A 15,222-nucleotide genomic window follows, 5' to 3' on the forward strand; every position below is an offset into this window, starting at 1 on the left:
TGAGCTATTACAAAAGCAGCCACCTGAGGCTGAAGAGGAGAAGGACTCGTCAACACACCAGTGTCTCCTGGCCACCCCCTAAACACGGCCCACGGTCCCAATAAAGCTGACCCCGGACAACAGGCAACTATGCCCACAGCTCCTTTCTGGAGAAAACTTAATGTCCTTTCTCCCTGCCTTAGAGATACCGAAATCTTTAAAATGCAGGCATCTGGGAAATGACGCATCAGAAGGGAGAAAAAATGGGAACACTGTAGAAAAAAACTGGCAAATGGAAAATCGTAAAGTCCTTTCCATATGTATTAACAAAAGACTTTGGCCATCCGAACAGGTAACTTTATCTGCCAAGAACACAATTTGGACCGACCAGTGAGTTTTATATTATCGTTCCTGGCACAGGGCTACAATTTGAGAACAGAGGCCAGGAATCTCTGCTTCTGTCTGTTTGGTTATGTACGTCTATATGTATGTATGTTATTTATATCTCATATTACCCTACCTTCTGATGTTATTATTAGAGATAACATATAAACGAGATCTATTTTATTTGCCTAAAGAAAATTAGGTGCTTGTAAAAATTAAATATTTTGTGAGAAAAAAGGAACTAACCCAATGGTTTTCAAGTTCATCTAACTTGAGTAATCTTTAATAAATAAGAATGTCGATGATGTAGTAGAAATGGACATTCTACCTAGCTGAGCTAGTCAAATAAGCTCATTATTCCTGTTAAAAAATTTGTCAACAAGAAAAATAACCTGAGATGACAGGTAGTTTGATATTATCCGTCTGTTTAAAAACAGTTTCCAAAATATTTTTGAAAACTTGAAACTCTGAAATTATACTAAGTTAAATTAAATGATATTTACTACATATCTAGATCATGCCCAAATAAGATAAACTACTAAAACACTAATTCCTAAAAAGAAGTTTAAGCTCAAGTATTTTTGGCTTATTCTAGAGGAACTGGAGCTACCTAGGTCTGCCAGTAAGTGTGTCCTGTGCTGAGAAAGTACATGCCATTTAATAACTATGATATCATGTACTTCCTAATTCACAGTGCATATCAGTGTCACTAAGGATTAAGAATTTGAATTAACATGTGTAATTAAAATCACTGGAAATAAAGATGAAAGCAAACAACTGTATATGAAAAAAACAGAGAAAGTATGATGTGTTTTTAATAAGGAAAAGTATATGAGGTCTGTGTTTAAGGAAAAAGAGAGTACTTTTAACTTAAAGCAAGATGACTGATTGTTCCAGAATAAAAAAGAAGAAAATGAGTAAGAAAAAAACTGAGTGGGTATACACAGTTGTAGAAAGTCTGACAAAAGAAATTTTATGTGTGGTCAAACTACTAACATTAGAATGATTTTATTTATAAGTTTTTGTTAAAAAAAGCTTCAAGTACTGACACAAAGTGAGTTTGTTTTCTATTAATAGTGCAATATTTTCTTTCTTTTTTTTTTTTGAGACGGAGTCTTGCTCTGTCACCCAGGCTGGAGTACAGTGGGGCCATCTCGGCTCACTGCAAGCTCTGCCTCCTGGGTTCACGCCATTCTCCCGCCTCAGCCTCCTGAGTAGCTGGGACTAGAGGCGCCCGCCACCACGCCCGGCTAATTTTTTGTATATTTAGTAGAGACGGGGTCTCACCGTGTTAGCCAGGATGGTCTTGATCTCCTGACCTCATGATCTGCCTGCCTCAGCCTCCCAAAGTGCTGGGATTACAGGAATGAGTCACCGCGCCTGGCCAATAGGACAATATTTTCTTGAATATTGGTCTTCTCTTAATTACAAAAGTTTTTTTTTTTTTTTTTTTTTTTTTTAACATTTTAAGTAATTGGCCTAGAAAACAATGATTTTGTGTTTTATCAGGATAACTTATTAAGCTTCATGCTGTCTCTAGTCTTTGATTAGTTAAGAAAAGTGAGTCTTTAACATTAAAAAAGGGCCGGCTACAGGGGCTCGCGCCTGTAATCTCAGCACTGTGGGAGGCCAAGGCAGGCGGATCACTTGAGGAGTTCAAGACCAGCCTGGCCAACATAGTGAAACCCTGTCTCTACCAAAAATCCAAAAAATTAGTTGGGCATGGTGGCACATGCCAGTAATCCCAGCTACTCGGGAGGCTGAGGCAGGAGAATTGCTTCAACCCAGGAGGCAAAGGTTGCAGTGAGCCCAGATCGCACCCCTGCACTCCAATCTGGGTGACAGAGTGCGTGAGGCTCCGTTTCAAAAAATAAATAAAATAAAAATAATATTTAAAAAGGAAAGTTCTTTATTACAATCTGGTATCTGTTCCATAAAAACCTGCTGAAAAATGTTAATAAATGGGAGGAGGCCGGGCACAGTGGCTCACGCCTGTAATCCCAGCACTTTGGGAGGCCAAGACGGGTGGATCACCTGAGGTCAGGAGTTCGAGACCAGCCTGGCCAACATGGTGAAACCCCATCTCTACTAAAAATACAAAAATTAGCTGGGCGTGGTGACAGGCGCCTGTAATCCCAGCTACTCAGGAGGCTGAGGCAAGAGAACTGCTTGAACCCAGGAGGCGGAGGTTGCAGTGAGTTGAGATCATGCTATTGCACTCCAGCCTGGGCGACAGAGTGAAACTCCATCTCAGAAAAAATAAATAAATGAGAGGATCAGCCAACGCATCAGCAAATGTCAGCCGGACGGTTTAATTTCCACTCATCCCACGACACGAGGCAACCCTCAAACACACAGGTCCTGGCCATGAAGCCTTCAGGGAATCACAGGACTGGGTGCTGACCCAGAAAACTCTACAAAGCTTTGTGACCAAAGAGGTTCGAGTCCCAAGTCCCCTTCAGGAAGAGCTGCAGTCTGCTCATGTGTCTAAGTTTGCCTCTGTTGCTTATAACAACATACCGGAAACTGGGTAAATTATAAAGGAAAGGCATTTATTTCTCACAGTTATGAGGCTGGATAAATCCAGGGTCGAGTGGCCACAATGGCTTTCTTGCTGGCGGGGACTTTTCAGGGTTCCCAGGTGGCACAGGCCATCGTGTAGTGAGGGGGCTGAGCGTGTTGGCCCAGGTCTCTCTTCTTCTTATAAAACCTATCCCTTGAAAACCCACTAATCTATTAACGGATTAACCCACTTACGAGGGCAGAGCTTTCATGACCCAATCACCTCTTCAAGGCCCGTCTCTCAATACTACTACATTGAGGATTGTTTTAACCTAAGTATTGAAGGGGATAAATATTCAAACCATAGCAAATCAAAAACATGTGAGAGTCGAAGCCACCAAGAATCTGACAGGTTGCATGAAAGCGCACATTAGTGTCCATCCACAGTGGCCATGTACCCAAGACAACCACTGCTGCCCCGGAAGAAGCTGAGAGGTCACTGGCCACACACTGAGGAGCTGTGTGTGTGGTGAGCTGCATGCTGGCTGTGGGTTTCGTTTCCACTGACCCAGGTCTCTGAGCCTCTCAAGAACCCCCGCGTCAACACAGTCCTTGTGGAAGAACAGGCTGAGCCCAGGAAAAGGAGGAGGCCCCGACAGACAACATGCTGTAAAAACCATGGCTCATAAGTAAAGAATGTGAAATGGGTATATAAATATAAAATCATAAAAAATGAGGCCAGCAGGAATTGTTACTGCTGTGGCCATGTGGAGAAGCAGCCGCCACTCGTCACCAACCCCCACCAGCAGGACAGGAAGCAGCCAGGTTCTGAGGACACCCAGGCATACCTGGGGAGGAGGAGGCAGGTGTGAGAGCCCAAGGATGGAGGAGACAGAGATCAAGGGAGGGGAGTGGAGAAGGCAGAGAGGTATGCACCAGGAGAGGCCATCGACTGGTGGGAGCTTGCTGTGTCTGGGGTCACCAGCACCAGACTGAGCCCTGACCTCAGCAGGAGGGGTGGGGAGGAAGCTGACTCTGACCCCATCAGCAGCAGCTCACCTCAAGGGGCCGGCCGCCCACCCTGAATGGCTTCCTGTGACCCACTGTGGTCACCCAGGCAACAGCTCCGTTCTTCCCAGACAGGAGAAGCCATTAGTGCACTTCTGAGTGGCCCACTCCTTCACCTGCCAGAAACTGACTTCTCAACCATAATTCCCTTTATGATTCTTAAGCATTTTATTCAGGGTAAAAATTAATTCAGTGAGATTTGTTTCCTATAAAAAGTAAATATAAAGACATTACTTTAAAAAAAAATAGAGACAGCTTCTTGCTCTGTTGTCTGTGTTGTCCAGGCTGGAGTGCAGTGGTGCCATCATGGCTCACTGCAGCCTTGAACTGGGCTCAAGCAATCCTCCTGCCTCAGCCTCCTGAGAAGCTGGGACTATAGGTGTGTGTCACCACACCAGGTTAAGTTAAAAAGTTTTTTTGGTGTCTTGCTATGTTAATCAGGCTTGTCTTGAACTCCTGCCTTCAAGTTACCCTCCTGCCTCGATCTCCCAAAGTGCTGGGGTTACAGGCATGAGCCCATTGCACCAGGCATAAAGACATTACTTTAAGACTGTCCCAACCAATAAACAGTTATTAATTATTTAAATATCCAAGACGAGGAAATGACCTTAAAGAGTTTAGAAAATGGAAGAAATCTAGTCAAAAAGATCCAAAAGAAAAAAGTGACCAGGCTGTTTATCTCATCAGTCCAAAAAGTTATTTGGACTAGAACAAGGACCTACTTATATCAGAAAGAAAATGAAAAGGAAAGATATAGGCACCTTTTAAGATACAACTGACGTCTACACCATCAATATTGACATCAGAGGAACCTACTTCTCTGCTCTCTGCCGTGGATGCCAAAACTGCTCGGTTCAGACCTTCTGGAGCATAACACAGTGATTATTCATTTAGTTTCTTAGAACAGGTCTGCCTTGAATATCTGCTGAGGACCACGAACAGCGAGCTCCCACCAGAGCTCCAGCTCCCGCAGCAGAGGGCAGCATCGCAGGGCAGCTGAGCCGAGACCACAGAGCGAGGTGGAATGCTGCAGCCACACAGGGCCTTGGACCCTCCGAGGAGGGTCAGTGCCCACATGACGCTGTGAGCAAGAACCCATTTGTGGACACTGTCTGGTTTCCTCTGACAAAGAGAAACAAGCAAGAAGGGGTTAGGTGTAAAATGGGTTGTGATTAACCATATCCCACATGACACAACCGACACAGGAATGAGAAAGTGGGCTAAAATAGTGTCATTTGGTCATAGGAGATGGTGATTCCCATTTTATATGAGTGGCTTGAAGTTAACCCTCAAATGCTGGTGAAATATTTTATTCCCACCAACAAAACGGTCACTAGAACATTGTTTGTAGTAGCAAAATACTGTCGGCTACCTAAAAGTCCATGGACCTGGGAGAGACTAAAGAAACACATTAGAATACTATAGCAGCTCTTAAAGAGAATATAAGAACAAATGCAAAACAGTTGCCAAATACATTGTTACACTGAAATACAAAACAGAAAAGAAAAGCAAGATGCCGAGCACATGTGTGAAGAGTATGCCAGCTTCCACGTGTCTGGAAGGAAAAGCGGGGTCTACCCACGTGTGGACGTGTGCGCACCCCAACTCTCCAGGGGCAACTTGGGGCTGGCAGCAGTGAAGTCTGTAGAGACATTTCCCATTATATACATTTTTGAACAGAATTTTTCTATGTGCATATTAGATATATATATGTATATCACTTAATTTCTACTGTGAGAATTTTCATTAATTTGTTCAGCAAAAGCTTTTAAAATATCTCTCTAGATGCTAAGTTCTGTGTGAGACTTGGGAGAAGCAGCAGAAACATGATGCCATCTCCTCTGGGCACTGGAGGAGAAGGACCAAGAAATCACACAGTGAGTTATGATCACGAAAGTCACAGGATGCTGTGGGACAGGAAAGGAAGCACATTTCCATCCTACTCAGCAGCCACCAGTCCTTGCTTTAGGAGTTCATTCCCCCAAGTATGATAGAGAATATGTTTCTCTGACATAAGTCATCCTTCTTTCTGAGGATGTTTGTATAGCAAACAACCTAGGAGAGTTCGATAATTAAGATAATTACAATACCATCTCTCTCTGTAACAAAGGCTGGGGATTTGCCAGCAGCCTCCTTTTGACACTGGGGGTTTCCTAAGCCAGTTCTCCTCAGCTACAACACAAATGCACTGCATCGGAGGGGGCCGCTCCCACTGCTCCTGGGGGGCTTGAGAAGCAGAGGGAACCCGTGCGCACACGCAGCTCATGATGCCTGCTGTGCTGTGAACAGCAAGTCTCTTGTCTCTGGCCCAGCATCTCACGTCTTCTGCAGCATCTGCAAAACTGTGGCAGGCGACGTTGTTAGCCTGCAAGTGGGGAATGACCTCAAACCCTCCATAGTTCCTGACATGTAGATCGAAATTAGTTCAGCATCCATTGTTTTAAAAAAAATCAAAGAAAAGTTAGTTTTTAAGCCTAGCACTTTCCATGGCCTGGTCTAAGCTGACATTCACAGTCAGATCCATTTCAGCCATGCGCCTCTGAAGGATGTCTCAGAACAGTGAGCTCCCAGAACACATAGAGACCACCTCTGCTTCTCCCCAGAGGAGGTCACACCCCTCCAGACGCGGGTGTAAGAATGATATAAAGTCACACGAAAGTTCCTATCCAGCCTGTGCCTAGGCAGGAAGCCTGGACAAAGCCCCCTCAGGGACCTGTGCCTTCCACCTGCGAGTTGGCATGGGCCATGGAAACAGGGCTGGATCTCGGCTCTGAGGCCGGGAGTGCCTCATACACATATCGGCAAGAGAAAGCTTGTCTTAGTGATGCATCGATGTTAAGTCATACAGCTCCAAATAACTCCTAAGCTTACAAAGAGAATCCCGTAAGAGAGCTTAGAATTGAAATTGGTTTCTGTCTGGATTTACGTGTTTTTTTGTTTTTGTTTTTTTTTTAGATTCAACATGTAATAAAGAGAAACATTTCCAAATCAGACTTACACAAATTACCTCATTGGAATTGGAAGCTAGATTTTTTTCACCTCATTTCTGGCACTCTTTCACACAAATTTCTTAATCGTATGGATTTAAAAGTGGCTGTAACAGACCCTCAGTATCTCATCTCACCTGGCGTCAGGTGCAAATGCACACTGTTGTCTCGTGGAGTCACTCAGCCCATCTAATCAGACGCCTGCCTCAGCCTCAGCCTGTAGATTCCGGTTCACATCGCTGATAGCATCTTTATTCTGGTAACTTACTTCTATTTACATCCCTGGCATTTGAGCCACGCATATTTCAAAGAGTACAGAAAAACAAAAGAGTGGCCAGGCTGAGGCCCCGGCATGCTGCTGCTTCTCTCCTGAAGGGCAGTGTCTTGTTACCAAGTACTTCGTGCAAGTCAAAAAGGTAAAACAGATCAGATACAGATATTTTTCCTACAGAGCTGACACTGGAAATAAGAGCCTTCAATATGAGATGTCCAGGTAGACACCTTGTCGCTGCAAGAAAGCCGAGTGACAAGTTTCCCAACCAACGCTGCCTGCGAGGGGCTCTCGGGCCTGCATATGAACCCGCTCAAGCTGGCGTGGGGCTGAGTGACTGCCTGGGACCTGCGGCCCCTAGCGCCCGATATGACTCACACACGGACTGCCCACTGAGGGGGAGCCCCTGTGAATAGTGTAAATGTGCTGACCTGCCTTTGGGTGAGGGTGTTCCAGGAGGCGTCGCCAATCTCAGGTTAAGCTAGGGTCCAGCTACCGTGCAGAGAGCCATCAGATGGCTCCAGGCTCCCTCAAAATCTTTTTTTTTTAATGTATTGTTTGCAAACTTTTAAGAAAGTGGAATATTTTATATAAATCTGCATTTCTAATATCCCATGAAAACAGGAAGCTGGACAATTTGGAACTTGGAGGTGAGGAGGGCAACCCTAAAAGCCTGTCTCTCCTCAGGACTACCTTTCCTAACTCAGAACTTTCACTGGAAGAAGGACCTCCCATGGCCACGCTGCTGCTTCTGCCGTGGCAGACTGGCTGCCTCCTCCATCCACATCTCCTGGGCCGCATCAGCATTTCCCAGGACAGACTCTCAGCATGGCTTCAGCCAAGTTACTTTATTTGCCTTTCTCTGGACAGAGTTCAACCAGACAATCTGGAAGATGGGCCAGAACCATGCGTGCACCGCGGAATCGCAGATCTTTACAGCCGGAAGAAGCCTCGGAGGCAGAGCCTGCACGTTTCAGACCAAGAAACGGTGGCTCAGAGGGGGATGGGAACGGGCAGGGACACCTGTTTTAGTGACAATCTACAGCCCATTGTCCAGCGTGGAGACCGCTGGCCGCCTGTGGCTACTGGACCTTGAAATGGGGCCCAAACTGTGTCGTGCTGTAAGCACAAAAAACACACTGGACTTCTACAACTTAGCATCAAATAAGAATGCAAAATTAATAACTTCAGGTTGATTATACGTTGAAATGTTAACGATTCAGATTTATTCAGGTAAATAAAGGATACTATTAAAATTAATCTCTCATGCTTCTTTTTACTCATTGTAATGTGGCTTGCATTCTGTTGCTGCTGGGCAGGGCTATTCTTGAATAAAGCCCACCATCTGAGGCCCTCTACAGGACAACAGACTGTTTTAACACAGATTTAATTTCTTTCTTGAAGAGGAGAAAATCATGACAAAGAGCAGAGAAAGCTGAGGGACAAAGGCCTTGCTACTATTTATAGGCCGGGTGCTATCCCAGGGCAGAGTCTATAAACAGGTTGATAGCAGGCCCTGTTGGAGCATGATGGCCCAGCATGCCTCTGTCAAACCGGAGAAGGCGATCTGCACGTTCACAGTGTTCACCGCAGGCCCGTCTTCAGCACAACCAAAGTCCCATTTTCCTGTTTGCTTTCTGCCAAGTACCCACCATCCTTAACCAGATCAAAATCATCTGTCCTATAGCTAAGAATTTAAAATGCAAGAATTCAGATAAATGCTTATCCCCTGGAAAACTGAAGCTGCTTTTGCAAAGCATAACAAAGCCCATGAAATTGTTTTAGTAACTGTTGCTATCATCTCAAACCATGGAAACTGTTACTGCTAAGGATTAAGGTTATCTTTTTAAAGGTGTGTGTGAAGACCCTACCTATCCAACTCTCTCTGAGTTTTACCAGTAGTTCATTAACAAACAATGGGAAGTGGCCTTTCTTTTTCTTTTTTTTTTTTTAAGATGCAGGTGGTGACCCTGAACCACAGCTGAGTGAGGCGCATTCCCGGGTGAGAATGTCACGGGAGTTCTTACTCACCAAGCCTCTGCCTTACCTTTGTGTTTTTCTGTTTGAGACCTCAGAAGCTCTGCACATTTTGTTTCTTCCTCCTGTATTTCCAGATGAAATCGGCATTCTGGGTGAATGCTGTTCACCTGTTCACGGTTAAAAGAAATATTAATAACTAAAAATTCCACAAGAAGAAGAAAAGCAAGCAAAAATTCTACAAAAACAACCCCAAACCTCACAGCTTTAAACTGCTTCCAAACCAAAATGCATTTAAAACCAATCACCTTGATTTTTCTGGCATTTTTTAAAAACTTCACTATTTACTTTGTAAAGGTATTATAAAACAAACACAAAATCTAATAGAATTTTTTTTCTGAGCAGGAAAATGAACTTACTAACAGAATACATCGGTACTAATTTGGAGGCAACAGAGCTCTTTACTCCATTCATCTCTCCATACCCGGCTCCTCCGTTTCACACCCTTTGGTTTGGTTTAAGCGGATGCCTGTGGACTGTGCCGCTTCCTCCGAGGACGGCCTCCACCCGGGAAAGAGCCGTGATAGAAGGGCTTTATTTTTAAAGGTGTTGGTACATGTTCAAAGCTTAACCCTCTAACTACAGATAAAACTGCAATCGTTTTGACTAGAATTTGGGGTGGAAGAGATATTCAAAGAAATCAGCAAGATGAGGAGGGAGGCAGAGGTGGGGGAATCACACCATTGTGGCCCCACAGAGAAGAGGGGGCGATTTCCAGTCAGGATCCATCAGGGGAGCGAAAGGTGCCACAAAGATAGTAATTAACAGTCTACTAATGTGAGAAGAAGGCAGAACTACACAATGCTTCCTCTCAGAAGGCACCGTTTCTACCTTGTTCTTCACGCCCTCCGCGAAGTCAGCACAGGCCTGCCAAGCGGCCCTTGGGGGCTTAAGGAGGGCTCCCCCCACCCATCCTTTTGGTCTTGATCTTCCCCCTCCCCCACCACCGACCAAAATTCTACTTGTACTAAAGTAGTAACTAAAGAGAATCATACTGTTGGGCGTACTATGGCCATCTATGTTTAGTTATCTTACTATTGAAATGGTCAATGAGAGTTCCAACCAGGAACACAATATCCTAACAGAATTAAGGGGAAAACAATGCTGGAACTTCTGCCACCTTCAGCCCCATTTAAAAGAGCCCCGAGCTTGCTTCTTGCTCGTGACTGAACCAGCACCAGGCACTGACTTTGGGCTCCAAGTCCTCTGTTTTCATGCAGGACAAGTAAGTGGCTTAAATTTCAGAATTAAGGAAATTATATTGATGTAAAAAGAAAAACTTTGTTAAAGTGTAAAAGACATTAATAATACCTGACGTTCCTGGAATATGCACAGCAATGACTTCTTTTAGGACATTTTAGCAATGAAAGCAGCATTAACCGTGATAAAACCCGTTACTTTCCAAGGACCCGCTCCGCAAAGCGCCCACCCTCGAGGGAGGAAAGCCGAGCTGCGCCTCCGCGCAAGGCCAGGGAGTGTGGCTCGAGCCCCGCTGCAGACCGGGCGTCGCCGGTTAATCAATGACACTGTCGGGTCAGCAGCGCAGCCTCCCAGCTGCGGAGGGGCCGCGGATCGATCCAGACCTGCCTCGGCTGCGACGCGCACGAAAACCGCGCGCACCGCAAACCCGCTTCAGTCTCCAAGAGGAAAGCAAGAAACAAGGCTCGGGTTTTTTTCTTTCTTTTTTCTTTCCTTTTTTTTTAAGGTTCACAGAGGGAATAATTCAGAACTCCATGTGCGAAGGCACTTAATCAACAAACTTATGAGCAGTTAGTTCCTCCAGTGCCCTTGGGAAAAAGCAACTATTTCCAAAAGGAAACTTTATTTAACCGACGCCACGTCCCCCCGACACTAAAACTAACCAGTAAGTACAGGGAGGGACCGAGAGGCATCTGCGGCCAACGCCAACCCCGATCTCCCCGTGAAACGCGCAGCCCGCGCAGGCGCCCGCAGCTCCCAGCTCCCGGGACGGCCCCGAACGAGCTCATCGTTGACGCGTCCAGGAAGAAACGATCCCGTTTCCAGCAAACCCCGGACGGTGGGGCGCGGGGAAGGGCGCAGGCAGCCTCCCAACCCGAGTCCCGCAACCCGGCGGGACCGGAGCTCAGCGCTTCACGCTCTCCGGGAGGAAGCTCCGGACCCCGGGCGACCCCGCTCCCTCTCCCGGACCCCGCCCGCGCTCCAGCACCCGGGAGGAAGGCGAAGACCGGCGGGAGGAGCGCTCTTCTCGGAAGGGGAGAACCGGGTCCGAGGCGCCGTGGGGCGGGGGTCGCGGGCGCACTCACGGGGGCGAGCAGCCAGCAGGTCAGCAGCGCGGGAGGCAGCAGCGTCCGCATCCCGAGCTCAGCGTGCCGGGGGCCGCCCAGCGCCCGCCGCCTCCGTCCTAGGTCCCCGCGGTTCCGCCGCCTCCAGCATGGGCCGGGAGCGAGTGCGCGGAGACCTCGGGCCCCGCAGCTGTAGCCGAGCGCCCGAGCGCGGGGGCCGCCCCCTCCGTCCCGGCAGCTGGAGCGCGCTCAATGCACGCCCGTCCCCCACGCGCCCCGCCGCTCCGCCCCCCGCCCCTGTCCCCGCCCCGCGCTGCCCCAATCCTCGTCTCCCTCCTCCCCCGAGAACCCCCGCTCCGCGCCCCTCCTCACCGCCCCCCACTTCCCCTTCCGCTGCGCCCCGCGCCCTCTCCTCGCCCCTGGGCTCTCTGTCCCCGCCGCGCGCGCTCCCTCTGGTCTCCTCGACCCCCCCAGCCTCTCTCTCCGTTCTCCTCCCCTCTTCCCTGGCCCACGCCCCCCTCCCGGCCGCGCCTCCCCGATCTGTGGGCGGAGGGGCTGGGAAGCGGGGTGCTCAGTGCGCGCCCGGCTCCGAGTAGAGAGAACTGGGGGAGAGCGGCCGGCGCGGGGCCGGGAGAGGAGGACCGGGCCAGGTGTGCGCTCGGAAGGGGCGGATGCCTTTGCGGCCGCCTGTACCTGCCTTTCTAAACAACTGCGGAAGCCCAAGAAAGCGGCCAGAGACCCGTCCGGGGTGGGCGCGCCGTCTTTGTAGCCAGTGGGGCTAGGTTGGGGCATCTGAAAATGGAGAAAATCAGAGTGCTTTTTGGTGGGGATCCCCGCAGCCTCAAAGAGGACATCAGGTCGAACAGAAAGCTGGAGAAAAACGCAGACGGGGGTATAGGTGGGTCCCAGCCTCAGCTGGGTGGCGGGTTTTGTGTCCTGCGTTTGCAAAACGGGGGTCATTCTCTCCCCGCAAACGCGGCGGCGGGTGGGGAACGCTGGGCGGGGACTCACGCGGTGCCACTGGGGCCGCCCCGCCGCGCCCCACGCGGGACTGCGCGGCCTCCCAAGGCGCCCGCGTGACCAACCCAGGAGAGCTCGGCGTTCCCCAGCAAGTGGAAAGCACTGGAATGAGAGATACAAGTTAAGTTCGTGTTGTTTTAATTTTTTATTTGGAAATAATTTCAAACTTACACAAAAATTAGAAGAATAAGAATATTACAAATAACTCCTTTTTATCCTTTTTGTGGATTCGGTCATTAACATTTACCTCATTGGGCTTATCATTTGCTTCTCTCTGATCCCCCACCCCCCGTATTCACAGATATCGATTTTTCTATCATCTGATGTTTATCATCCACATTATCTATCATCTACCTATCCATCATCTACGTATCATCTATCGATCTGTCATGTACCTATCATCTATCATCTTCCTATCGATCATCTATCTGTAATCTGTCATCTATTATCTGTCATCTATCATCTACCTGTCCATCATCTACCTTTCATCTATCCATCTGTCAGGTATCTATCATCATGCGCCTATCATCTATCATCCACCTTTCCTCTATCACCTACCTGTCATCTATTATCTATGATCTATCCATCTATTATGTACCTATCATCTATCATTTGCCTATCTTTCATCTGTAATTTACCTATCTATAACCTGTCATCTACCTATTTATCATCTATCATCTGCTGTCATTTATGATCTATCCATCTATCATGTACCTATCATCTCTGTATCATGTATCAATCAGCTATCATCTACCTATCATCTCTCTGCGATCTATTACCTATCTATTACCTACCATCTACCTATTTATCATCTATCATCTACCTCTCTGTCATTTATCTATGATCTGTCATGTACCTATCATCTATTATCTTCCTATCGATCGTCTATCTGTAATCTATCATCTATTATCTGTCATCTATCATCTGCCTATCCATCATCTGTGATCCGGCATATCTGTGATCTACCTGGCTGTCATCTATCAATCACCTATCATCTGCCTATCTGTCATCTGGCTGGCATCTATCAATCACCTATCATCTGCCTATCTGTCATCTGCCTGTCATCTATCAATCTATCATCTGCCTATCTGTCATCTGCCTGTCATCTATCAGTCTATCATCTGCCTATCTGTCATCTGCCTGTCATCTATCATCTGCCTATTTATCATCTATCTGTGATCTATCATATCTGTGATCTGCCTGTCATCTATCAGTCATCTATCATCTGCCTATTTGTCATCTATCTGTGATCTATCATATCTGTGATCTGCCTGTCATCTATCAGTCATCTATCATCTGCCTATCTGTCATCTGCCTGTCATCTATCATCTGCCTATTTGTCATCTATCTGTGATCTATCATATCTGTGATCTGCCTGTCATCTATCAGTCATCTATCATCTGCCTATCTGTCATCTGCCTGTCATCTATCATCTGCCTATTTGTCATCTATCTGTGATCTATCATATCTGTGATCTGCCTGTCATCCATCATCTGCCTGTCATCTATCGATCATCTATCATCTGCCTATCTGTCATCTGCCTGTCATCTATCCTCTACCTGTTATCTATCTGGCTTCATCCATGTGTATCTAGTGGGAGACGAGGAGAGGGAGACCTGGGCCTTAGGCGGGCTGCTTGGCTTGTGAAGAAAGCTCGTGGCGCTGGGTGCCTTCGACAAACGCATCTTTTTCTCCCGGTTCCACCTGGGTGAGCGATGAACTTTGAGCTCTATGCATTTGTAGGAATGACAGCACCTGCCCTTCCACCGCAGAGGGGCTCTGTAATAATCAAGGTGATTAATGCACACGTCAATACCTTGTTGAGGGCCTGCATTTTAGAAGTGACTGTCCAGGGTGCAGTGAGGGGTTGCATGATGGGTGAGTCTTCCCCTGCAGCAGTGCGTCCCGATGGACGGGGTAGACCAGGAGAAATGGCTGTGGTCGTAGCTAGATGGCACACTTCTCTGAAGGTCCAGTGTGTGTGTAATCACGGGCTTTGCTGAACACCCCAAACCCTGCGGTTACCTGATGCTCTTAGAAAAATGACCAAAGTTCTCAATATGCCTTTGTAAACAAAAGATAAAATTCTAAGCCCCCCAACCAACTTAATGGACTCCCCTCTTGGCCAAAGGGATCCCAAAGAAACCTGAAAAACGAGTTCAGGCCATGACAGGGAGAGGGGGTTGGGCAGGCCTCACTACACCCTCCTTTCCTGGAGTTCATGACCAACATTAACATAAAAACAGAGCTCCTAAGGCTGACCAAACAGACTGTTCATAGCAATAAGATAGCAAATTCCCACCAGACTCTAGTAGAGCATCACATGACGGCCAGCAGGCCCTGAAGAAATATATTTCTTTGACAGATTTTGAAATGGCCCAGCAAAGCTGTCTGTTGGGGAATCTTGCACTCTGTGGAGAATCCCTGTCCGTCACTAGGTCTTTCTGGAGAGTCTGACACCTTTCAAGGCCCTGATAGTAGACATTCACATTCACTCTCTCTGAAGCCTGCTAGCCGGAGGCTTCATCCACAAGAACCTTGGCTTCCACAACCCCCTTTATTTTCACTCAAGCTGATATCAAGTCTTCAGGCAGATCTTAACTCTGTTTTACCCAACGGCCAATCAGGAAATCCTGTAATCCACCTGTGACCTGGAAGGCCCCACACCCCGCTTCAAGATGTCCCACCTTTCTGGGCCAAATCAATGTAT

General features: G+C 47.3%; 1 protein-coding gene across 3 annotated transcripts in view, besides 1 other annotated feature; it reads right to left on the bottom strand.

Annotated features, from left to right (window-relative positions):
• Positions 1-11,660, bottom strand: part of VIPR2 (vasoactive intestinal peptide receptor 2) — a 116,693-nt gene extending 105,033 nt beyond the window's left edge. For all 3 annotated transcript variants that reach the window (NR_130758.2, NM_001304522.2, NM_003382.5), the window contains exons 1-2: positions 11,514-11,660; positions 9,239-9,338 (exon numbers count right to left, since the gene is read on the bottom strand). Coding sequence is in view for 2 of the 3 variants with exons in the window: in NM_001304522.2 (NP_001291451.1) it covers positions 9,239-9,338; positions 11,514-11,564 (151 nt within the window). In the remaining variant the exon portion in view is untranslated. The remainder of the gene's footprint in view (positions 1-9,238; positions 9,339-11,513) is intronic.
• Positions 13,458-14,657: an enhancer, noted in NCBI's record as "P300/CBP strongly-dependent group 1 enhancer chr7:158939357-158940556 (GRCh37/hg19 assembly coordinates)". NCBI's record gives its function as "activates an origin of replication core promoter dependent on BRD2, BRD4, P300/CBP, MED14 and CDK7 cofactors, with strong dependence on P300/CBP, by STARR-seq in HCT116 cells {active_cell/tissue: HCT116}" and the evidence as "EXISTENCE:reporter gene assay evidence [ECO:0000049][PMID:35650434]".

This window comes from Homo sapiens, chromosome 7 (assembly GCF_000001405.40).
Source record: "Homo sapiens chromosome 7, GRCh38.p14 Primary Assembly".
In the NCBI taxonomy this organism is placed as follows: domain Eukaryota; kingdom Metazoa; phylum Chordata; class Mammalia; order Primates; family Hominidae; genus Homo; species Homo sapiens.